At 42.0% G+C, this 26424-nt stretch overlaps 1 protein-coding gene across 8 annotated transcripts in view, besides 1 other annotated feature; it reads left to right on the forward strand.

Annotated features, from left to right (window-relative positions):
- Window positions 1-26424, forward strand: part of MOBP (myelin associated oligodendrocyte basic protein) — a 61818-nt gene that overhangs the window by 13985 nt on the left and 21409 nt on the right. For 2 of the 8 annotated variants that reach the window (NM_001393704.1, NM_001278323.2), the window contains 2 exons: window positions 20402-20611; window positions 20871-21363. The exons of 1 other annotated variant lie outside the window; for it this stretch is intronic. In NM_001393704.1, coding sequence (NP_001380633.1) covers window positions 20406-20611; window positions 20871-21216 — 552 coding nt within the window. In that variant the 5' untranslated portion in view covers window positions 20402-20405 and the 3' untranslated portion in view covers window positions 21217-21363. Of the gene's footprint in view, window positions 1-20401; window positions 20612-20798; window positions 21364-26424 lie in introns of those variants that run through there. 5 more of the 8 variants (NR_003090.3, NM_182935.4, NR_103505.2 and 2 more) reach the window with 4 other exon arrangements.
- Window positions 24228-24727: an enhancer, noted in NCBI's record as "NANOG-H3K4me1 hESC enhancer chr3:39547383-39547882 (GRCh37/hg19 assembly coordinates)". NCBI's record gives its function as "activates a minimal SCP1, AML or CMV promoter by ChIP-STARR-seq in primed H9 embryonic stem cells {active_cell/tissue: H9 hESC(primed)}" and the evidence as "EXISTENCE:reporter gene assay evidence [ECO:0000049][PMID:30033119]".

Below are 26424 nucleotides of genomic sequence, written 5' to 3' on the forward strand. Positions count from 1 at the left end.
GTTGCCTATAGTTTCTCTGTCTATCTTTAGTCACTATTCCCTCCATAAACCCTCAAATTCAACTTCTGTTTCAACAACTCCATGGAATCAACTCTTACTAAAGCCACCAATTATTTTCTTACCACTTAATCAACTGTACTCGAGTAGTCCTCATATCATGCCACCTCTCAGAATCATTCTACAAAGTTGAGCATTCCGTCTTTTGAAATACTTTTTCCCTTTGATTCCTATGATGTCACATGCTCCTAGTTTCTCTTCTACCTCTCCCATTCAGCCATCAAAGCAATCCCTTCCACTCTCATGGCTTCAATTGCTACCTATACTCCAACAACTTTCAAATTCTATCTCGAGCCAACTTCTCCTCTGAACTATTCACATGACATCTTCATCTAGAAGCCTTCAAACACCTCAACTTGAATCCATTAAAAGTGAACTCATGCTTCTGTTTTTCGCCCAAACCTTCTTTTTCTCTAGTAGATACTTCCAACACCCATCTAGTTGCTCAAACGACACACCTTGGATATACCCTTGACTCCTCCTCATTACCACTTCTTATGTGCAACGAATTACCAAGTCTTGTTAATTCTACTCTTGGAATATTTTGTCACCACCTTCATTAATCACATGGCCTCCTGGAATGGGCTTTGCCCATGAAAACAATTTTCCTCAAAGCTATGGAAGTGATCTTACAAAAACGCACCTCTGGGTCGGGCACGGTGGCTCATGCCTGTAATCCCAGCACTTTGGGAGGCCGAGGTGGGCGGATCATGAGGTCATGAGATCAAGACCATCCTGGCAAACATGGTGAAACCCCGTCTCTACTAAAAATATAAAAAAATTAGCCGGCCGTGGTGGCAGACACCTGTGGTCCCACCTACTTGGGAGGCTGAGGCAGGAGAATGGCGTGAACCCAGGAGGTGGAGCTTGCAGTGAGCAGAGATCGCGCCACTGCACTCCAGCCTGGGCAACAGAGCGACACTCTGTCTCAAAAAAAAAAAAAAAAAAAAGCACCTCTGACTATGACATATTTCTACTTTAATATCCTTCAGTATATTAAGGATTTCCCTCCCTTATAGTATTTTTTGATCTACCTAGCATGTCAGTTCACAGCTCAGCCTCTGATTTCCTCTCCAGCCCATCCTGCTCCACTCCTTCTTATATACATTGTTACAGCCGCACTGGCCTTGTCCTAAGTCCTCAAATATACCTCCCCAACCCCAACTCAGAGCCTTCTGTCCCAAACACTCTCGGCCTACTCCTTTCTCTGCTGCAATAACATTGACTCACTCTTCAGCTCCTACCCTCCAAAAAGCCTTCCCTGACCTATTATCCTAGTTAAGATCCTCAACTATATGGACTCATTGCCACCTGTACTTTTCCTTCAAGGTGCTAGTCAAGACTCTAAACAATTACTTCTAAAGATGGTACTTGTTTAATGTGTGTCCTCCTTGCTAGAATGTGCACTCCTGAGATCATTGTTCATTGTCTTTGTTCATTGTCATATTGTCAGGGGCTAACATTATGTTTGGCTCATCATATGTACTCAGTGACTGCTTTTTTGAATGAATGAATGGTTTTAATATAACATGGTAAATATAAAGATGGAGGCATAGAGATTGCAAAATGGAACAGAGATAAGTGGCATTTCACTCAGCTGAGGAAGTCTACCAGTGTAATTGCTATTGTGTGACTCAGATGATGGTCTTGGACACAAAATTTGGGAATAGGGTGGTCAGCAATCTAGTGCTTATTTCAGCTTGTGTCTCCAGCTTGGCCTCTTCTTTGTCTCTCAAAGAATGGAACCCCTGGAAAACCCAAGGCAGCTTAGTAGCTATCACCACTCACTAGTTGTAGGTGGAGCAATACATTAGCCCATCAGATAATCTGAGTTCTCTTCTTAAGTCCCCTGCTATGACCACAGATCATTTAGGTTTTTCTATAAAACAATACAATTTGGGAGATTGGTTGTCTTCCCCATCATTCAGGAAAAAATTATAAGAGAATTTGTTTTACCTACGTATGTGTACATTCAAAATCCCATCATTTTCATAGGGAGAAACAAATCATCCTTATTTCCTTATTTCTTACACCACAAACACTGGATTAAGAAAGGCAAATAATTGTAAAACCTAGTACACTTTGAAATTATAATGCTTTCTATGGAGAGACAATTTTATGCTAAAACCTTAATTTTTTAAACTACCCTTGCTGAGAACCTGACAAAAGCAGCCCGAGTCCTACATAACATCCCAGAGGACAGAAGCACCTGGGGAATTTTAAGACACTTTCAACCCAATCAGTGTCAACGTTCGTTCATTAAGTGGATGGTGAAACAGAACCCTGAGGATTCAGACAGAAACTCTGTCCTCAAAGAGCTCACGCTGAGATCACAGACATATAGCCACATTATTATAACATAGTCCACAAATAGAAGTATGTACAAGTTATAAAGATAGCCCAGAGAGGGACAAATCTTTTTGGGGGATCAAATCCTGATGAGGTAAGACCTCAGCTGGGTTGTTAAGGATGAATAGGTATTTACCACACAGACATGATAGGGAAAAGGCATTCCAGGGAAAGGTCCATCTTCTGATGACAGGATAATGCTTCTGGCCTGTACCAGCAAGAAATGGTGTGGGAGGTGAAGGACAGAGACCAAACCCTGAGGGGTCTATGTGCCGTATTAATTGAGAAACAAGGACTTGGTTCTGTAACTGAGGCGACCCTTAAAGTTTTTGAGTAGGGACAGGTATAATCAATTTCACATCATCTCTGTGGCAACGTGGAGGATAGATAAGGGGAAAGTGAGTCTAGAGTCAGGGCCAGCCAGCAGATAAACGGAGAGACCAGCTGGGCCCGCCTGTCCCCTTGGCCTGTAGAAAATTGTGGGAATATTCATCCACATACAATTCCAGGGTAAATTTGAGTGTCCATAAACTAAAACCATGTATTGTATAATTTTAGATACAAGAAACTGAAGGGTATCATGTTATTTACATAACATTCAGAAAACTACTGCACTTCTTGAATGTTTATCTGGCCCCACTACAATAAGTGAAGGTTTTACTCCTGAAATAATTGCTAAATAAATTATCTGTGTGCTAAAGATAACAACCGTAGGTCACACCCTTTCCTTTCCCTTAGAATAGCTGGAAGCAGGTAGAGTTTGTTCATCAGAAAGGACTTTTGCACAACTTTATGAGATAGTTGCAGGTGGGCAGTGTGGTTCTTGGACCACATTAGTTTGTCCTTGTTGCCTAAAACAAAGCAAAACAATGAGGGCATTTAACATGGCTTTGTTTTGTGTCCCCACATGGGCCTTCAAAATAATTAAGGACTCTCTTATGTTTTCATTTTTTCATAGTCTTGGCAGGTCCCCACAACAGTATTAGATTTTGACATCTTGCTGCTTTCTGTGGAAAAGCACCCAGATTCCAAATAAATATGTGTATGAAATTTTCCATTACCTGGCACTGGTTTGTCACCAACAATCTACTGTTCAACATTTATTGTACTAATTTGTAAACATAATAGTTGTCACGGAGACAAATGGATAAACAAGGACAGACAGATAATGACATCCTTAGAGACAGCATGTAGTAGTTACAGCCAACCTTGGGGTCCTACATTTTTGTGTTTTTGCTGCTGTGGACTGATGAACACAGAAGCCATTGTTTTTTACTGTGTAAATCTACACTCAGAAGAAAGGGTCGTCAGCCGCTGGCCTGAGAGGATTAGCAAGGTTTTAGAGACTAAGGTCTCTACGGGAGCTGGTGAATGTGGAATGAAATTACTCTTTGGGAAACATGGATGATTTTTATCACAGCTAAGGAGTTGGGGCTGAGCAGTTTTTGGAAGGCTGTGGTTAGGCATATGTGAAAACCTGGGCCGGTAATGGAATCTTTGGACCCCCAGTTATTATTCCAAAATAGCTCTTGTAGAAGCACCCGTGTGCACTCCTCACTTGCAGGAAATCATGGGTTCTTTCTGACAGCCTGGGGCTCACCGGCCTGTGGGCGTTCCTCTCACCAAGTGCGAGTCCAGTCAATGGTGGTTGAATGGACCCACCTCCCTCGCCAGTGCCTCTGATTGGCTGCTTTCCCCCTACCTGACGTCATTTCCCCTGTTTTTGAGGATCAATCAAGATGGACACAAACGATGCTTCCTTACTGTCCTTTGCCTTTCTCTGAGTACTACATAGTTAAGAATATTTGTAATATGATTGCTAGCTATAAAAGATACCTCTTTTTCTATTATTTCCCTGTTTGTCTACTTTTTAAAAAAATGTATAGTTTGTTTTTAATGTAAACATCCTGGTTACTAAAACTTCATACGTTTATATGTTGGAATATTTTCTTCTATACAAGCACTGGTCTTTTAACTTGTAACCTCAAGTTGTATAAAATAATCTTTTTAGTTTATAAAAGAGTCTCTATGATTTGCTTTCCTCCTGTTCAAGTTTGTTGTGTTAGAAGGAGCATGGTGTCAGGGTTAGGCATACATTCTAGTTTACCTTGGTTGGGGTCCTGGGACTCCATTTACTAGCTCTGTGATCTTGGTTGAGTTATCTGACTTCTCTGACTCTCTCATTTGCAAAACGGGGCTATTATGAGGTTATGAGGATGAAATAAGTTAAATACGTGAAGCCCTTGAACAGTGCCTGGTTTGTATCTCATTCCACGTGTTTGCTATTGTAATTTTTTTCTAGGGTATTTGTTCTAATTTCTTCTTGTCTTTTTTTAGGGTAGTCCATCCATTTCCCGACTCTATTAAATAAAATAAAATAAATAAAAATGCTCCCTGTGTTGTGATCCATGCTACTATACATATGTATAGTATATATGTAGTGTATAGTATGGAAGTTCATACTATACTTCCAGCTTACCCTCCGAAGTGGCTCTTCACCAACTATGTGTGAGAGTTCCTGTTTGTCTACGGACTCTCTTAAGTTAATGTCAGGCTATTTAACTTTTACCCATCTGATTCTTGTAGAATGGTATCAATTGTTATAACCTGTGTCTTTTTGATAATTGGTGAGTTTGAATGTATTTTTATATGCTTATGGGTCATCCATGACTTCCTCCTCTGTAAACTGCATTTTCATATGATTTGCCCAATTTTCTTTCGGGTTGTTTTTTCCTAATGATTTGTACGAGTTCTTTAAATATTCTGAATAGGAATTATTTGTATATTATATGTGTTGCATTCTCCCAGTGTTCCTTAACTTTTGACTATGTTTATTGTGTCTTTTGATGTACAGTAGCTTTTTTTTTTTTTTTTAACTTCTGTTTTTAGAGACAGGGTCTGGCTTTGCTGCCCAGGCTAGAGTGCAGTGGTGTGATCATAGCTCACTGCAACCTCCAACTCCCAGGCTCAAGAGATCCTTTCATCTCAGCCTTCTGAGTAGCTGGGACTATAGGCATGTGACATCATGCCCAGCTAATTAAAAAAAAAAAAATGTAGGGATAGTCTTGCTGTGTTGCCCAGGCTGGTCTCGAACTCCATCTTGGACCTCAAATGATTCTGCCTCAGCCTCCCAAAATACTGGGATTACAGGCATGAGCTACCATGCCCAGCCTGTAGTTTTTAATTTTGATGTAATCACTTTTCCTTGCAAGTTAATTTTATCAACATTATTTGTTGAAGAATCTATCTGCCCCCTACCAATTTATAATAACATCCCTATCATATATCAAGTTCTCTTGTTAATATGGTTGTGTTTCTATTTTTGAATAGAACTGTTCCACTTGTCTATTTCTGGGCAATGCCACACTATTTTAATTACTATTGCTTAGTAATGTGTTTGGATATCTGGGTATGAAAAGTCCTGTCATTCTTTTCAGAATTTTCTTTCTTTTTTTTTTTTTTTTTTTTTTTGAGATGGAGTCTCATTCTGTCGCCCAGGCTGGAGTGCAGTGGTGTGATCTCTGCTCACTGCAAGCCCCATATCCCAGGTTCACGCCATTCTTCTGCCTCAGCCTCCCGAGTAGCTGGAACTACAGGTGCCAGCCACCACGCCTGGCTAATTTTTTGTATTTTTAGTAGAGACAGGTTTCACCGTGTTAGTCAGGATGGTCTTGATCTCCTGACCTCGTGATCTGCCCGCATCGGCCTCCCAAAGTGCTGGGATTACAGGTGTGAGCCACCGCGCCCGGCCCCAGAATTTTCTTAGTCCTTTGATTGTTGGTCCTTTGCCCTTCCATCGAATCAGATCATCACATGCCACAAAAGACTGTTGGTGATTTTAGTAAGAAATGCATGAAGTTCTGAACTCACTTTGGAAAAGTTTACATCTTTTATGATAAAGTTTTTTTCTATCTATGCACAATTTTTCCTTCTATTTATTCATGCATTCTTTTATACTTTCACTGAAGTTTTGAAATTTTTTCTCAAAACAATCCATACATTTTAGTCTTTGATTTATTTCTAGGTACTTCAGGATTCTTGTTGCTATTGTGAATAAAATTTTTTTCAGTAATTATTTTTTTCCATACTCCCTCTCTTCCTGGGTGTTCTCCTGTGTTCCCTTGGCTGTAAATCTCATTTTTATGTCAAATACAGTGCAATTGATTTCTGCCTTTCTCTCTTGTGATTTCTCAATCCACATGACCAGTCATTCCCTTTTACAGACACTTGGAGGTTTCAGAAGTATCTCAGACTGAACATGTCTAAGATTGAACTCTTGATTCTTTTCTTCCCCATCCCTAAACCATTCCCCCACCTTAGAAACATGATTGGCTGTCTACCTAATTTCTCTTGGAGACATCCTGGATGTCTGTGCTTCCTTGCTGACATTCAGTCTGTCTGCATGTCCTGTTCATTGTTAGGTTTCTTTTCTTGCTAATGCTGTACTCTGACCTACCCCAGACTAGTCTATTAGGTGGCACCATCAGCACTTAGACCTTTAGAAGCATCTCAGGCTTAACCTGTGTGGAACATAGTAGGTGCTCAATTAATATTTGTTGAATACATAAATGTTTAGAACTGTACTCTTACCTTTTTCCCCCCAGCCTTCCCCACCTCAGTAAATTGCTTCATTGGGCATTCGCTTAAGTCATAAGTGTGGCAGTCATCCTTGCCTTATTCTTTACAACAAATCGCACATCCAGTTTGTCCTCATGTGCTATTAATTTTGCCTCTAAAATCCACCTCCACTGCTGCTGCCCTTGTCAAAGTCTCTGTCATGTCTCCCTGGTTTTCCTATTTCCTCTCCTGCTTACTTCTAATCTATGTTGCAAGGAGCTTGAGTGATCTTCATGGAAGCTAAATATGAAGATTTATCTCCTTTAGTGAAGATCTTTCAACACCTTCCTATCCTTCCCATTCCTTAGCTCACTTTCAAGGGCCTGCCTGGTCTTTCTCATGCCTTGCCCCTAGCCTCAATGTTCCCCTCCCTCACTGTGCTTCAGCCACTCTGTTCTCTGGTTTCTTGGAGACATCAAGTCTCAAGGCCTCTGTCTGTAACTGTTTCCTCCCTCATGTATGGGTGGCTCCCACATATCTTTTGGATCTCAAATTAAATTTCATTTCTTCAGGAATCCTTCCTTAGCCTTCTAATCTAAATTTGTCTCATTGCTATATTGTCTCCTAGCACCCAGTTCCTTCCTTTTAGAGCCCTAATCACATTTCAGTCATACATTGGATATACTACTCATGGGGTAAGAGATAGTCTGTTAATGTCTTCTTCTCTGTACCCTAAGCTCTGTGAGCATAGGGACCTTCTTTGTCTTACTCACCACTGGCACTTAAAGGTACTCAATAAATCTTCAAATGGATGACTGTTAGGATTGTATTTGGCTGCCTTTACCTTCAGTCATCTTATGTGTATATTCTTTGCACATATAGACTGATATCATCTGCCTTTCCTGTCAGTGGGATCTATTGTGGTCATAAATAAATTGTCTCAGTAGCTCCTATCTACTGTTCAGGGGGTCCTTGTCAGTCTTAAAATTAGCACCAAGAATTGCTCTCCAGGGTACTAATATATCTTACCTACTCAAGGCAGGAGCTGGGTGTATTGTTCCCCGCCCAGCTCCTGTCCCAGCCCCTGGTGAGAGTGCTACCTCTGGAGGTGACTGAGGATAACAGAGGGAGCTATAAGTTCCTTCGAGCCGACTGCCACATTGACGGTTAACTGGCTTCAGCTGGGATGGCTGGCCACTCCGAGTTTCTGCCATATAATTAATGACCTAGCTTCCTGCTGCTTTCAGTTGCTATTAGAGAAGTATTTTCTTATGTCAATACAACCTCTTCATAAGCACCTTTAAAAATGGATGTCTAATATTCAGTTGGTCTTCAAATGACTCCATAATATTTCTGTAGTTAGCTAATTATAAGAATATCAATAATTAAATAAGAATCAAATCTTTACTGCTTACATTGTATTTGCACACTTTGTAAATATGCAAGATCTCCCCACTTATCTTCTCTTCTTTAATAAGCTAGGCTGACTTTAGGAAAGATAAAGAATAGTGAATGCTTCACTTTTTCTGTTTCATTACCACTCCTGTTTCTGGGGTATATGCAGAAATTAAGTTTGAGATTTTCCTACTATCCTCCCCCTGTCCTCATCAATTAGTAAAATTCAAGTTACAGTTTTTCATGCATATTATTATTATTACTGAAAATATATTTTATTTCTGTTTCTCTTCACAGAATGAAAGGTTAAAAGATTTTATTGCTCTCAAGGGCATTGATATTCAGAGAGTAAATATTAAATTGTGAAATGGAGGCAAGGTTTAACAAAAACTCATTGAAGATTGATAAATATTTTAAGACTCAAAGTTAATTTTTCATGCTTTGAAAAAATTCAGTATTTTAAATGTTAGACACTTCCTCTTGTTCTTAAAACCAGATTATGAAAATTGTAATTCCCAGTTGTTTCCATCTCTTCCTTACAATTTTTTCATTTTTTTTGAGACAGAGTCTTGCTCTGTCACCCAGGCTGGAGTGCAGTGGCGTGATCTTGGCTCACTGCAACCTTCACCTCCCGGGCTCAAGCGATTCTCATGCCTTGGCCTCCCAAATAGCTGGGATTACAGGCATGCACCACCACCCTTGGCTAATTTTTGTACTTTTAGTAGAGATGAGGTTTCACCATGTTGGCCAGGCTGGTCTCGAACGCTTGACCTTGGGTGATCTGCCTGCCTCAGCCTTCCAAAGTGCTGGGATTACAGGTGTGAGCCACCGTGCCTGGCCTCTTCCTTACAGTTTTTTCTAATCATTTGAAGGCACAGGGGGTGATGGTGTGGGTTTTGAGAAATTACAGCCATGTACCGGAAGGAATTAGGAAAAAGGAAAGGGAAGGTTTAGGAAGAACATGACCTTATTTGCTCAAGTCTTTTCTACTTTGTGAATTTATGGGGGAAATTCTGTGTCCTATGGAGTACATTCTTAGGTCACTGAAGGGAACACTTTTCCATTCTGTTCCTTAAAGTGGGAACAAAGAAAGAGGCTTGGGATAGGTAATTTATTATGACTATCTTCACCCTTTCTCTAGTGTTAGGTATGTCGCAGTGATGTCATCCTCTGGACTGTGAATGACAAATTGATGATGTCACTGAGGCCCCATCTCCCCTGTATAAACAGTGTGGTACGGATTATAACAGACAATTAATCTCACCGGTCACTCATAAATTGTGCCAATTCTTTTTTATCTTCTCTGGGCCTCAGTTTCTTCATCTGTAAAATAAGGATAAATGTAATCTATCTCCTAGGATTATTACCAGGGTTAAATAGATGAATAAATGTTATGAACTTGGAAGAGTGCCTGACTTACAGTGAGCTCTCCATCAGTAGTACTATTATTAGCTATTATTTATAACTTATGCTTCTCAATGGGTATGATTTAGGAAATAGCAAAATAATATATTTTGGGTTTTTGTAATTCTTAATTTCAAATGGACTGGCAGCTTACATACCAAGAATCATACCAGACAACTCAGACCATTGAGTTTCCTCTATGGTGTAAAATGCATGTCCTTTCTGCAAAGAAAGCTGAGCCTCAGGTTTGGTGCCTGGAGGTGAAAAGAGAGTAGGCTAGAGGCCAAGTCTTTGCCAGAGAGAAGGAGGAAGCAGAAAGAAGAGTTTTTCTAGCCAAAAGAATAGGAAAGAAGAGAAAAAGCAAGAGAGAGAGAGGAAGCTAAGGAGGCAGATACTTGTTTTCTCCTTTTTCTAGGCGAAACCTCAAAACCATGGTGGGGGATGTGGGTATGGTGTAGTAGAATCATCCAGATAGGTTTAAAATTTTTTGTGTGTGTATGAGGGGCAGTGACACACTTCAACAGGAATAGTGTAGTGGGGGCCCTGCAAGCCTCTAGAAAAGGCTGCCCTCAGCCTCATCCAGCATGACTATGAGTGACTGCACAGCTTTGGCTGGGAGGCTGTCTAAGCCAATGGCCCAGAATAACGCTCTTGGTTCCCTACTCGTAATGCATGGGAACCAAACATTTCCTAGAATAGATGTGAAGGAGCTGAGAGGACAGCTGGACCAGAATAGGAGGCTACTGAGTCAGGAGCCTGATGACCAGTGGCTTTGGTTGGATCAAGTGGTCAGTAGCAATGTGTGTCATTCATGCTAAAAGGTGGGTGAGACCAGATGAGGTACCCCATGGCAAGGCCTAGCAGAGGACACCACCCAGACCAGCCACCCCTTCCCTCACTGCCATGAAGATACTCAGGTTTTTCATACTCTTATCCACCTTGAGAAGGAAGAGAGGGAGGTGAGAAATAGTCATGTTAGGGAACTGAACTCTGACTACAAAGTAGGAAGGGATGGTTTCAGCTAGAAGTGACCAGGCCACTATAAATTTAGAGTTTTGGTTGCTCTCTTCTTTCCACTTTCTTTCTCAGCCAATATTCATCATGGGTTGGGCTTGTAATATCACATCAATTCTACAGTTACAGAGAAATAAAAAAAAGTTGTGCTTTTTTTGGTAAAATCAATCTCGATTTGAATAAATTTGAAATTTCTTGCTTTATTAACCTGAAATTTCTTTCTTAAGTATATATTAAACATCCCATTCCTTAATTCATATAATAGATCTGGAGACTGATCATTATTTTCCTTTGGAGTTTTGATATCTGAAGCCAGTGTGTTATTCTCACATAGGGTTCAGGTCCTGGGTGCACAGTCAAGGTCAAAGCTTGTCTCCTGTTCTTCCCATGTTGAGTTCTTTATACCAAGGGAAGAACAGACCCTTGCTCAAGGTTGTGAGGGAGCCGAGTGAAAGAATTGAAGACCTATTCTGCTTTCAAAATATTGACCTGCATCTACCCTTCATTCTGCAAACTCTATACCCGTTTGCATGTCTGACTTCCTGTGATACCATGCAGATATGAAGGGGCAAGTGGGCTGCAGCATGTCAACTTACCACTTGCATTTTCTTTCCTTTCCAGAGGACTGCCCAGAATTGAGGGCCACCTGTGGCTTTCATGACATGATTATGCCACATCCCGATTGCTTTTTTCAGAAAAGATGATAAAAAGAAAGGAGGAAGGGTGGGAAGAAGGGCAAAAAATCCACTTTATACTCATGGTTTTAATTTCTTCCTGTAGCCTTTTTAGGGAATGGCGAAGCTGTGTTTATAGATACTATGACACTAGTGGTTACATAGAGCTTAATGCCACCCCTAGGACGTGTAATGAAATGTGTATGTAATGATTAAAGATAGCAAATTAATTTGTATGAATTAGAAAAAGATATATTGTGTTCACAAAATCTTTTTTTTTTTTCCCTAAAGAGCCCAGTTTTAGAACTTTCAAGGTTAGTGAGAAAGGTCCCTTCCTCTACTGAACAGACATTTTTGCCTGAATCCCCATTGGAACATGGGACTGCTAGAGAGCATCTGGGGACAGGACATAAGTGGCTAAGGGCTCTGCAGCTGTTGTGAAAGGCACCCTTTGTTCATTCTCTCATTTTTAATCAAACATCTTCTGAGCACCTGTTCTGTATCAGGCATTGAACAGGCTTAAGGACAAAAATTTTAAGGAGACAGTGAAACAGTAAGGGTAGCACTAAAGTTCTAGATGCTTTCCTAGAATTATTCACAGAACACAAAGGAAGGAGGTATGATCATTACTCTTTGGGGGAAGGGAAGGATCTGGAAAGGCTCCCCAAGGAGTGTCTTGACTTTGAGCTGAACCTCAAGGCAATGGAGGCATTTGCTGTGCAACTGTTGAGTGGTAAAAGACAGGGGAAGGAACCCTATGGGACAAGTTCCAAAGGCTTGAAATAATCCTGTCTCTTGGGGGCTAGGAATGACTGGGTTGGGCTGGATGCACTTACCAGAGGAGGGTTCCTTCTTGAATAAAAAGCCTTATTATTGAAGAAAGGTCATCTTCCCATAGACTTTTTGCCTACCTTTCATTGACTAGAATGTGGTCACATGGGGGAATTATATAGATTAAACAAGGCATATAGCACTGCCAAACAAAATCAAGGTTCGTTACTGAGTTATTAGGCAGTCTACTAGTCCTATTAACCATTATGAGTTTGCTATTTTAAAATTATTATTGTATGATGTTGGGGATTTCACTTAAATTCTTCCCCAATTTTCTCATCTGTAAAATGGGGATAGTAGGAACTATCTGGAGGGTTGTTTGGGGAATTACAAATATTAGATATAAAACATATGGAACATACTAGGTGCTCAATAAATGGTGGAGAGGTTTTTGTTTTCCTTTCTTTGGATCCTTCCCTTCACTTTCTTCTCCTTCTTTGAATGCTTACTTCACTTTTCTCTCCTGTTTAGTTTTAAGTTATATGGAAACCTGGAGAAGATTATATTTTGCAGTTTCAAATTTGTTTTTTTTTTCCTCATCCTGCCAGAGAGTTCATAGTTATCTTTGCTTGCAATTAGGTGGTATCTTTTGTGAAAACGTCATGCAGTGTTTATAATTTGTTTTTAACCACTAAAGTAAATAAAGATGTGATTAATGCTTAAGTATCATCAGAGATACACAGTGAGATAAATAGAGTGTGTCTAAAAAACTCAGCAGGATTAGATAGGTCATTTAAATGAATTCTCATCTGTGAAAGGAAAATATAATTTATTAAGCAAGTTATTTACATTAGTTACAATTTTTTATTTACTTTATTTCATTTCATATTTTCAAAGCCCCCCCCCGCCCCCCGAGTTACGTGTTGTTATTATTACAGGAAACTGAGTCTAACCAATTAGGAATGTATTTGGTTACTTGTAACTGAAATAATAGTGGTTTATGCAAGGTGGAAGTTTGTCTCTCATATAAGAGGTGTTCAGAGTTCAAGAGTCCAGGCCTGAAACAACAAACTCCACAGTCCTCCAGGATTCAGGCTCCTCTGGTATTTTTGCTCCACCACCTCACAGGAAGTGGCTTCACCTGTGAAGTTGAGCTGTGGTCCAAGATGGCTCCTGTACCCAGGAGTAAACTGCTAGACTACAGTTTGTGCACATTTTTATCCTCACTAGACAATCCCAAATTGTTTCCAGAAATGCACAGTCTTTGCAAGCACACGTAGAACAAGGTCATAAAGCAAATTTGAACAACTGTTGGAGTCACTGTCATAGCGACTGCTTTCTCTAACTGCATTAAAATGAGAAGCCAATGTAACAAAAATATCTCCATATATTTGGAAATTTTACAATAGATTTTGTAATAACTGATGAATTGAAGAAGAACTCATCCATAATTAAAATGAAGATTAAAAATTATTTTAATATTTGTGGCATGCAGCTGAAGTTGCACAATGGAAAAGGTTATAGCCATAAATGTACATATATGAAGCATTTGACTCAATAAGGAAAAAAAAAATAACACAAATATAAAGAAAATGGAAGAAAAGAAATTATAGGCCAGGCGTGGTGGCTCACACCTGTAATCCCAGCACTTTGGGAGTCTGAGGTGGGAGGATCACTTGAGCCCAGGGAGAGCCTGTCTCTACAGAAGAAAAAAAAAATTAGCTGGGTGTAGTAGCACGCACCTGTAGTCCCAGCTACTTGAGAGGCTGAGGCAGGAGGATTGCTTGAGCCCAGGTGGTTGAGGCTGCAGTGAACTGTGATTGCACCACTGTACTCTAGAATGGGCTACAGAGTGAGACCTTGTCAAAAAAAAAAAAAAAAAGAAAAGAAAGAGGAAAAAAAGAAATTATAAGTGCATACAGAAATGAATAAACTGGGGGAAAAAAGAACAAAGACAAGAAAACCACTTCCTTACTTTTGAAAAAAAATGAAGTAGATAGCTTCTGACAAAAGTACTCAAAAAAAATGAGAGAAGATACAAATATAGAATATAAACTATAGAGAAGATTATAATTACAGATTTATTACAAATTTTAAAAACGGTAAGAGAACACTACAGACAACATGAACTTGAAAAGTGAATGATTTTTTCAATAATATAAATTTGAAAAATATGTAAGGTGTGGTCCTACTTTTTATTAACTGTATATTTACAGGTAAATATTTTCAAAGAAAAAAGTTAACATATTTTACAAGTGGCTAACCATGGGGTAAGAATTTATGAATTTGTATTATTTTCTTTTTCTTTTTTTTCTTTTTTTTTTTGTTTTTTGAGACGGATCTTGCTCTGTCGCCCAGGCTGGAGTGCAGTGGCCCGATCTCGGCTCAGTGCAAGCTCTGCCTCCCAGGTTCACGCCATTCTCCTGCCTCAGCCTCCTGAGTAGCTGGGACTACAGGTGCCCGCCACCACACCCAGCTAATTTTTTTGTATTTTCAGTAGAGACGGGGTTTCACCGTGTTAGCCAGGATGGTCTTGATCTCCTAACCTCATGATCCGCCCACCTTGGCCTCCCAAAGTGCTGGGATTACAGGCGTGAGCCACCACGCCTGGCTTCCTTTTCTTTTTTTTTTGAGACAGAGTCTCGCTGTGTTGCCCAGGCTGGAGTGCAGTGATGTTGGCTCACTGCAAACTCTGCCTCCTGGGTTCAATCAGCTCTCCTGGCTCAGCCTCCTGAGTAGCTGGGATTACAGGCTCCCACCACCACGCCCGGCTAATTTTTTTTTTTCTTTTTTTTGAGACGGAGTTTCGCTCTTGTTGCCCAGGCTGGATTGCAATAGTGCAATCTCGGCTCACCACAACCTCTGCCTCCCGGGTTCAAGCGATTCTCCTGCCTCAGCCTCTCAAGTAGTTGGGATTACAGGAATGCACCACCATGCCCAACTAATTTTGTATAAAAAGTAGAGATGGGGTTTCTCCATGTTGGTCCTGCTGGTCTCGAACTCCCAACCTTGGGTGATTCGCCTGCCTCAGTCTCCCAAAGTGTTGGGATTACAGGCGTTAGCCACCTCGCCCGGCCTGGCTAATTTTTATACTTTTAGTAGAGATGGGGTTTCACCATGTTGACCAGCCTGGTCTCGAACTCCTGACCTCAAGTAATCTGTCTGCCTCGGCCTCCCAAAGAGCTGGGATTACAGGCATGAGCCACCGCACTGGGCATATTATTTTCATCCATCTGAGTTTTCTAACTTTCAGCAGTGAATATAGATTTTTTTAATCCACTAATTCACTGGAGGGGAGGAGCTGCAGAAGTGCCTGTAGGTCACACTTCCCTCAGGGCCCATCCCAAGTTTACTATCAGTCCCGGACAGGGACCCTTCTGGCGCTGGCAGAGAAGTCCTGGTTTCTGTTGTTGTGAAGTCTCCAAACTCCATTCTCTATCTTTCTCTTCTGGAGTGATTTGTTTCCCCAACTTTCAGTCTTTGTCACCCTAGGACATAGACTCATGGATCTTTGAGACTTATCCCACCCCTGGGTCCATCTCTAGTCCTCTGAAGTCTAGTCTGGGCCCAGCACCTGGACTCCTATTCCTTGGGAGGAGGGTTGAGTCTATAGGAAGCACAAAACAGTGTTGGACCTGTCTAAAGTGCTTGGGATGCTGGAGTCACACAGATGTGGATTCAAATCCCTTGCTGCCTCTTACTGGCTTATGGACTTAGTCATGTTCTGTAGATTTTCCATCTTTAGTTTGTTAATAATGCCACATTAAAAAATGAGATAAAGTATGCAAAACAACTATACACAATGGTGCTCAGTAAACTGTTACTTCTTCGCTGTTAGTTATTTGCTTTATTAAAGGAAAAACTTTAATAAAACAAATTCAATTTAACAGAGTTTAATTCAGCAAAGAACAATTCACAGATCAGACAGTCCCCAGAACCAGATTAGTTTCAGAGGGACTCCAGGGCCACCACACGGTCAGAAAACATCGATGGACAGAGAAAGGAAAGTGACAAATAGAAACCAAAAGTGAGGTACAGAAACAGCTGGACTGCTTACAGCTGGAATTTGCCTATTTGAACACTGTTGGCTGTCTGTGATTGACTAAAACTCTGTGATTGGTATAAGACTGGGTTACAATGTACCCATCCGGTTAGGTTACGGTTTACTATGTACAAATAAACCGTTAGGTGGAACTTAAAATATGTAAGGATGTGGCTTTAGGCTAAACTTAATTTAACAGCCTGTATTTCCAAGGAATTTACTAGCAATCCTGGTGTGTTATAAAACGATGACTCTGATTTAGCATGTGAGGCTTAGCGTTTTTAAATTGGAGGGTGGCATGGGGCCGATAGTTGGGGAAGCAGTATATAGAACTGCTTAAGCAGGTACCCCAACTAAGTGCTGTATTTCTGCCACCTGGGAAAAGAGTTAGGAGGGCAGTTTTTTGTTGTTGTTGTTTTTGTTTTTATTTTTTTGTTTTTGGAGACGGAGTCTTGCTCTATCTCTCAGGCTGGAGTGCAGTGGCGCGACCTCAGCTCGCTGCAATCTCCGCCTCCCGGGTTCCAGCGATTCTCTTGCCTCAGCTGCCCGAGTAGCTGGGATTACAGGCACGTGCCACCACACTCAGCTAATTTTTGTATTTTTAGTAGACACCGGGTTTCACCATGTTGGCCAGGATGGTCTCAATCTCCTGACCTCGTGATCCGCCCGCCAGTCTTTTCAAAAATATAAACATTTTACTAAAGGAGGGAGAAAACATTATTTTGAAAGTTGGATGCATTTTCAGGTGGTTGTGTTAGGAATGGCGAGGTTCTTCCAGGGAAGAGAATTACTTTTTCCTTCAGGACCATGCATCGATGGATAACTAGAGGTGATGCTGCCCCCTGCCGGACATGGTCGGGGGAGACAGGGAGTGAGGGAAGTTGTCATGGAGTAAGAAACAATTTTCCCCTGAAGTGCTGGGGGAAGAAATGACTGGGCGGGGGTGCAGATGGGCATACAGTGACCCAGGCATTACATCAGCTGGAGCAGTGAGTGGGATTTGAGAATTCAATTAGGGAAGGAATTCAGAGTCACAGTGGGCTTCAAATCTCCTTCTTATCACATACTAGTTATTTCTCAAACAGTTGGAGTAAGAGCTAAATTTTCTGTTATTTGTGACGGGTGCCTGAGCCGTTTGGGAAAAGGTGACCCTAGAAGGCCAGAGGAATTGGGAATGCCTGGGTTGCCTGTGGAGAGTTGAGTAACAGTCTCCATGTGCTGGGCACCTGAAGAAATTACTCCTGAAGGTTAATCCTAAAGTGTTTCACTTCATTATTTCCCATGGGAGGAGAAACTCTAGCTGAACTTCGCGACCTATGTAGGACTTGGGGAAGGGCTTAGCAGACGTTTAGGGTCTTTGCAATGAATCTGACCCTATAAGTCAGCTGCAGCTTCTCATTGGTCTATACATACCTGTCTGGGTAAAGGGCTCCTTTGAATATATCTGATCATCTCCTTTTGAAAATTCAGCAATTTCTCTCCTAGGAGACTGCTACTCATCCTACCTTTCTGAATACCCATTACTCCTTCTTCCTGCAGCTTGAAGGCAGGTCCACGCCTCCTCCTGGAAGCCTTCCCTTGACTGACTCCTCGCTGAGTTCACAGGTATCTCATCCGTGCCCGACGTTGTGCCCCCTTCCATGAGGTGAAGCGCTCTCAAAATGAGAGCTTTAGGTCCTGAGTTTAGAATGCCTGTTTCTTCATGGATGTCCTTGGCTCTTTAAACTCATTGTGTCTCAGACCCATGAGATGATCTCCCTCCTTCTCATCTACTTCGACCTCTGATTAGCTGATGGCATGACTGTGTTCCCAGTCACATGGGCTAGACACTTCACCTGCCTCATTGCCTGTGTCCTGGCTCTATTATGTCTTCCAATTCTGCAATGCAGATAGGATGAGGGCTCTCGGGGGTAATGCAATTCACTGTGTATCTGCTTAGGTATCAGTCATTCCCAAGCCCTCATCTTTGGCCAGATGAAATGCCTCTGCCCATGAAGTTTCACCTTGTTCTCTAGCCCAACATATTGCCCTCTCTTCTGTGGACTTTTCATGCCATTGCACCAGCACATTCTCATGTTGCAGAGCATGCTGGCCTTGTATGACACTCACTGATGTCTGTGGACATTCCTCTACCTACAAGGTGAGCTCATTGTGAGCAGGATGTTTATCTGCTCTACCCACTTCCTCATCTCAGTGACTTGTACTTATTTGGTCTCAGTAAATGAAGTTTTTCTGGCCATTAGCACATTATGTGCATTCTAATCACTTACTTGCCTGTATCTCCCACTGGTGGATAAGTTTCTTGAGGACTGGACTCAGCATGATTTAGCTTTGTGTCCAGTATGTGAACTGAGCACTGTGCCAGGCAAAACCAAAGTGTATAGTAAATGTTAAATTAAATGGGTGAAGGTAACTTCATTTATTATTTAGTATTTATTACACCTTAAATAACTCTAACATTAAAAGTTTAGTGTTAAAAAAATGAAAGATTTGCCAAAAGCAGATGAGCCTATAAGGGAAATGGACAAGGAGAGACTAGAGATAGAGGAGGAGATCTAGGAGAATGTGGTGTCACAGGAAAGGAAAGACTTTAGATGGAGAGAGACCAAATATGAAGGCAATTGGTTTAGCAGCATGGAGGTCTGTGGGGAGCTATGTAGAGTCATTTTTCCTTGGGAGGAAAGGGCCAGGAGCCACAGTGGGGTGCACTGATGAGTGAGTGAGTGGAAGATGTAAAGATGGAGGGAAAAAATATTAATACCTTTTCAAGAACTTTACCTATACAAAAGAGGAGGGTAATAGGGAAGCAAAAAGACACGGGAGCAGGATCCAGAGAGGATTTTCTTTTAAAATGGGGCATCATGAGTATGTTAAAAGCTGACAGAATGGGGAAAACTTTCTGGGAAAAATACAAAACCTTTAATAAGATCTAAGATACTTAATTACATAAAACTATTTTTGCATGATAAAATCAAGTGAAACATTGGGAAAGAATATTTTTAACATACATAACAGATGTGACACACAATTTTGATGATCACAAACAGAGGTGCAAAAACAACGTATTTGTAACTGCATTCTACCTGCTTCTCAGCTGTCATTTCTATTTGTAGTAGAAGACAACCACACCAACAGACAAAAAAATTAAAATATCCCCTCAAAGTTATTTAGTTATTGTTCTGTACTCATCCTTAAAAACCCAGATTATAGGTTCTGTCTTCAAGGAATCCATCCTTTTTCCATGCTTTGTACACACTTGTATTGGCCAACATAACAGTGTTTTGTAATTACATACTGCACATATGCATCTCCAACCTGACCCTGAGTTTGTTGAGAGCAGAGACATTCTCAGTATCCAGTTTATGCCCATTAACTAAGTTGATTCCTGTTGATTGATAGTCACGTAAGTCCCCTGTGGGCTTCGGTGTTTTGCAGTGTTAGGTAGGACTATTTCTGCATCTGTCACATTCCTAGAAGGACTGTTTTCAGTCTCCAGCAAGCTCCCCTGTTGCCCCTTCTGAGTCGGAACCCACCTTCTCCAAATATAACTATGCTCTGATTTCTAGCACCATCGATTAGTTTTGCCTGTTCTTGAACCTCCTGTACACACAGCTTGTTTTCTTGTGTCTGACTTCTTTTGTTCAATGGTATGTCTGTGAGATCAAAATGTGTTGATGTATGTCAGCAGGTCAGCAGTTTGTTCTTTTTCCTTGTGTAGTATTTTATTGCATGAATGATGATTGTTTTAATAATAAATAATAATAAATTTTTTATTTTGCTTTTTAGAGAAAAGGCTTTTCCTAACTCTAGAATATTATTTAGTCAAGGATATGTTTGGTTTTAAATGTTTTCCTATCTTACATGGGTCTCTAAAACATAAGGAAAACAAGAGCCCATGTTTCTTTTTCTCCTTAAAAACACGATTTTTAAAAATACACAAATGAAAATTAATGAACTGTTAGTTGAGTTCCTTTCCACAGAGTTGGGGGGAAGTTGGTCTTCCAGGGTGTTGCTCTGTAGGGCCCCCCTGAATGTTACCTTGGATTATGGGAGTAGCAGGGGGCTTCCAGAGTAGAGGGCTCCCTTTCCTGATGTGCGTTTATGTCTCCTCCTGTCTCCTTGCATCGGCGATTTCCAGTGAGATGAGTCAGAAACCGGCCAAGGAGGGTCCCAGACTCTCCAAAAACCAGAAGTACTCCGAACACTTCAGCATACACTGCTGCCCGCCGTTCACCTTCCTCAATTCCAAGAAGGAGATAGTGGATCGGAAATACAGCATCTGTAAGAGCGGCTGCTTCTACCAGAAGAAAGAGGAGGACTGGATCTGCTGCGCCTGCCAGAAGACCAGGTAAGCGGCCGCCCAGCCCCGCGGCACCAGTTGGGCACAGCGCGTGGTCTCGGCTCCCAGCACGCCCCTCCCGCTCCGCACCCCACTCTTCCCCCTAGTCGGCTCCGGGTTAGGCTCCGACACCGGAAGGCACTCCAGGGAGACTGGAAGGTGGGTGGGGGAGCAGGGCCTTCCTACCTGTTTCCAGCTCCTGCCAGCGTCGCTTAAGCAGCAGAGGAGAGCCCTGGCTCCCGCCTCCAGCTTCTTTTGGCCCTCTCAGAACCAGCCGCCGTGCCAAGTCCCCTCAGAGGCCCAAGCAACAGCCAGCTGCGCCCCCCGCGGTGGTCAGAGCGCCAGCCAAGCCACGGTCCCCTCCGAGGTCTGAGCGTCAGCCACGGTCCCCTCCGAGGTCTGAGCGTCAGCCACGGTCCCCTCCGAGGTCTGAGCGTCAGCCACGGTCCCCTCCGAGGTCTGAGCGTCAGCCACGTCCCCGCCCAGAGGTCCGACCACCGCCAGCCAAGCAGCGTCCCCCTCAGAAGTCCAAGCAACAGCCGCGCAGCAGCCCCCTCAGAGGGCCAGGCGCCAGCCGTGGGGGGTCCCCCGTCAAAGCTTCTAGGTTCTGGTAACACCATCTCTTCCCTTTTGTTCCCCAGCCCTAAGGTTAGTAGTTGCTTCCTGTGTTTACTAACACCGGGCTGTCTCCATGGCCCTCTTCAGCCTTATTACCCAACCTGTGTAATCAGCTCCCTCCATTAAATCCCCTCTGTTTGAAATACCTAGTGTGGCTTCTGGTTTCCTCCTAGGTGCTATTGGTGCATACTTCAGGTGGCTGTGGCCATTGCTTCCGTTGTCTAATAGGACTGGAAGTTGTTAATCTATCAATTGAGATTATTGACCATGGTAACAGATTGAATAAATGAGTTCCTCAATGCCTATGCCTCAGGGAGATAACGAATGGTGACTCTAATCAATATCCGTATAAGTAAAAGGAGAGGGTAATCCATTGGACCCATCCATCTCCCAACACACTTCATCTGATGTCAATCTCAGTGGCAATACCATTCATTCATTCACTCATTCACTTACTCAACAAATCCTATTGCATACCTGTAAAGTTCCATTTGATGTGCTGGGGGAAGGGAATATGGCAGTGAGGAAGCCGTGTTGTTTGAGATTTACCAGGACCAAATAAGAGAATAGGTGTCATCGTGTAGGGATCAGTGCCCTAATGTTTTCATAATATGCATGTACATGGGACCATGAGAACCATAAGCAGGGAGTTATTGGCTCTGTAGGCTATTTTTTTTTTTTTTTGAGCAGTTTTAGGTTCACAGCAAAATTAAGGGGAAGGTACAGAGATTTCCTCTATATTCTTGCCCCAATACACACATGCCTGGCCAATTTTTTATTTATTTATTTATTTATTTTACTGTTCTGAAGGTATATCAGCATGCCAACTTTTTAGACCTTTTACTATTTGGAACTGAATCTGTTTATAAGTTAGTAGTGGGTGTTAATTGTATTTGAGATTCTCATATCTACTCTGATACCCAGCACTTGTGTAGCATCTACTATGTGTAGGTATCACATGATGTTTACTGATTTAGTAGGAAGAAGAGTCAATGGGGAAGAATGTTAAAGATGCCCCTAGAAAATGTGATTTTTGGGTCACCACTAAGGCCTGGGTATGTGCCTTTTTAGTAAGCATTCACCCCGCAAAGGTACAGTTATGTAGACAGTACGCAGACTACACAATGAGCAATGCTGACCTAAACAATCCATAAATGAATAATCCAGATTATTTGTGATGTGAGGTAAAGAAATGTGGAGAGTGATAAATTTATGGTACCAAAAGTGAAAGCATTAAAAAGGCACAAGATTAGGCAAGTTTAATTTGTGAAGGAAGTAACTAGTCACTAAAACTTTAATAGCAAGTTGTATGACAGGTTACCTAGTCATTAACTGAGTCCCTCTTAAGGACCCTGAGTAGAAGGGTCCTAGGACAGGTAAGTATTGATATATGGAAGTAGTTAGAAAATGTATGAAACAGAGGAAATTAATTGTATAAAAGGCATGCCACCTATAGTGGTGGCTTTGGGTGGCTGGAGTTCAATCAGGACATGGAAAGGAGTTAGAAGACAATGAAAGCAAACTTCACCATACCCACAGATTTGTCTGGACCTAACCTGGATCAGTGTATTCACCTAAATTCAGGAGATACCCTAGTGTTGGTGTGCTTTGACTCCCTCAGTTAACTAATTTCAGTGGGTATCAGAAGGTGCCTCCACAGGCCGTTATTACCTCCTCAGCCATTGTCCCTTACCTGGGAACAGAGGATCTGAAAGTCTTCATTCGTAATGTCCCCTGACTTCACTTATGCACTGTCTTGAGTCCTATTTGAGATATTCATTTTTCCTTCTTAGATTCCCAAAGGTCTTCAGGTAATATATTGGAGCCACTTCTTCATCATATTGTCTATTCCTTTTATTGATACTGATTGACTATTTTGAATCAAAGGAGTGGGAGGCAGGTTGATGTGATGGGAAATATTTGCTCTTAAGCAGAGCTACTAACTTGCACATGAAGAAAGGGTAAAAAAGATTTTCTGAAGCCAACTTGCTTTCTGAAACAGTGCTATTTCTGAGGTATTGCTTTTAGAGGTTAAATAATTTTGGCAAAGGCCTAATTGGATTCTTAATAACTCCCTTGGATAGGTCTTCTCAAAAACCAGAGAATGATTTAATCTTAGAAACTGATTGTACGATTTCCAGCATCCTGATTAAACATGGTAGCATTCATAATATTTGATAGGAGGAAACCGTGGCATCTCCCTCTTAGTTTATTCTGTCCTCCCAGTTCTAAGATTTTAGGATTTCACAAGGTTGTCCTTGCCTTTGGGTTTAACAGGTATGTCCTGGGCCTCTTTTGGTTTCAGTGTTCTGCTTTTGGGAGCTGGGGATCTGTGGTTCTTTGAAAACCACCATGGCTGTGGGTGGTTAATTTGGAGTCAATCAGTCACATATATTGGGAAGTGCTGTGTGTGCCTTTGACTCATTTTTTTCTGCACAGCATGTTTTATATTATTAAATTGAGCCCTGCACACAAGCAGCCTGGAAGACTATGATTTTCCAGGTAACAGCAGAGCTAGAGAAAAGGCCTGAGCTCTTTGCTTTCTGTTCAGGCTCTTGTTCTGCCTGTGTCTCAGGTTGCATTATTGCTTTTATTAGTTTGGGTGACTGAACTCTTGAATTTTGCCCTATCTGTGGCATATACTCTTTCCTATCTGGGAGCAGTCCTTTATACATCCTGGTGGTCCCTATAGCACAATGCTTATGCAGAACAGATGCTTTTGCAGAGGCCTAGGTTAGCCAGAGAGGCTTCCAGTCCTGGGAGCTGTGTGTTGTTTTGGAGTGTGACAGCCTCTGCCTGGTCACAGGTCCTTACCTGGTCCAGACCACATGGTTAACTACGCCTTCTCTGATAGCCTTAACCCAATTGTCTCTCATTCTCCTTCAACACTCGTTTTATAAATCCCTGATTCTAGATCAAGCTCACAACCTGCCTGCATTGGTTTTCCAGCTGCTGAGGATGGTCATGTGTGCATAGAGCTGCTGAGTGCAGTTTGGGAAAAGCTTTATAGCCTGGTGGGTTGGTGCCACCACAAATGGATGAACCCCAGCCACTCCCCAGACTGTCCTGGCTCCACCAGCCCCCACACGTTCATCAGAATATGCATCTGTCTTTAAATCCTTCCCCTCAGCCTCAGAGGTTGAAGCATTCATTCGCTGATGAGGCCAGTCCCCCACCCCTCCCTGTGATCTTCCAACCTCTTATCTCCTTTGAGGTCTTGCTGTACAACTTAGCAACCCCCCTAACCACTTCAGCCTTTGTATCTTGTCTCTTTCTCATTAGCATTTTGACGTGTTTTGCTCTCTCATATTGACTGTTTGTTCACGTCTGGCCCTATCCTCTTTTCTCTCTACCTTAGACAAATTTTAAAAAGAATAGTGTAAACTCGTCATCTTTACTTCCTCAAATCCCATTTGCTCTTCAATTCATTGTGTTCTAATTTCTTCCCTTAGCACCCCCGCCCCTGGAATTCCTCTTGTGCAGATTCCTCCAGAAGTAACAATGCAAGGGCAAGAAGTTTATTTGGGAGGTGAAGGGGACACTGGAGGAATGTGGGAAGCAAGATAAGGAAGGGAAAGAGCCAATTAAAAAAAAGCATTATCTAACCAATTCTCACCGTGGGTTCCTGGGACTTAGTCCTGCCGAGGACCTCTGGGGAACAGTGTAGACATGTGCGTCAGTTATCTTACCAGAGGGGTGGAGGAACTGGGATATTTATACACCAGTTCTCGTCAGACATTAGTCAGCCAACGCTGCTTCAAGGATGGGGGCATTCATTCTTTGACACGTCTAGCTTGTTAAGGAGATGGCAAAGTGGACTGCAGCAGCAAGATAAAAGCCCTCAGGAAAAGAAAGGCAAGTGCTGGCACCTGGAAGTGGGGCTGAGCACAAGAGTGGTAAGGGCAAGGGGTTATGGGCAAGGCACCAGTAGTGTTTGCTCTAATGGTTACCTGTGGCCTTCATGCTGCTTTTCCTAATGAGTGCTGAACCCAATCTGTATATCAGTGGTGCTTTCTGTTGGATTTGTTGGGCTGTTCTCTCATTCAGTCTTTAAACTCTCTGTTCTCTTGGTTTCTGTGACTCTCTTCTTCCTTTTCTCTGCAGGAACTTTCCTTCTTCATCTTCTTGTGAGTGCTTCCTTTTCTGCCAATTGCTCAACCTTGAGGTCCCCTAGGGTTCCCTACTGAGCTCTCTGCTTATATGATTTTGCCTTCTCTTGTGGTTTTAATTATGACTCACGTGTGATGACTTCTAAACCTTAATTCATCATTGACATTAATATGTGAGCCTATTCACTCAGCAGATCAATTTGATGTTGGAAAACCTAATCTGTCTACACTTGATTTCTTTCCTACAAAACTTGTTCTTCTTTTTGTTTGCTATCTCAGCAAATAACACAGCTGTCCAACTAATCCCCCAAGTTGGAAACCTAAGCACATTGTAACTTCCAATTTTCCCCTGCATATAAATGCTGGCCAATTTGACTTTCTGATGGGAAGGGGTGCAGGATTGAGATCAAGCTAGAAACAAAGTAGAGGGAATGGAGGTAGTTGATAAAATAAGTCTCCTCCATAGCACATATGGAGGGATTGGCCTTTGATGGGAACAAGAAAAGCTGTTAGATTGTGCAAAGTAGAGAGAGACCCATTAATAGGCATTAAGATAGAGGTCATGCCCGAGAATGAGCGAGCTAGAAGTTTGAGAAGGTTAGGGTACACCTGGAATGTTAGAGACCAGGCTTCTAGGCAGTAGTTAGGGCTGGCTGAGCTGAGCTCAACAGAGCTGTATATAAATCATTTGTTCTTAAGGAGCTCCTTCTCCAATGAAAGGAAACAGATTGCCACCTCTGAAATTATCAGTGGAATCACACAACTCCACATCCACACTCTGCTTCTCTTCCAACTTGTTTGCCAAATGCCCTCACAGCAACTGTTCTTAAACTTTACCATGTGCCTCCAGTGTTCTGACTCCTCCATTTTTATCTCCATCTATCAGACTCCACTTTCCTCGCTTTCCAAATTAGAAATGATATCCCAACATTTTAATGTCGTTCACAAATACCCTAGAATCCCCTGCCTTCTGAATATTTGTCTTACACCCCTGGGAAAACCCCAGCCTTTGATGAACCCAGCTAACTGGCTTCACCATGTTTGTTTTTGGGCAGCTAAGCATCACTGGAGAACAGCACACAGCAGGACGATAGT

Source organism: Homo sapiens, chromosome 3 (assembly GCF_000001405.40).
Source record: "Homo sapiens chromosome 3, GRCh38.p14 Primary Assembly".
NCBI lineage: Eukaryota > Metazoa > Chordata > Mammalia > Primates > Hominidae > Homo > Homo sapiens.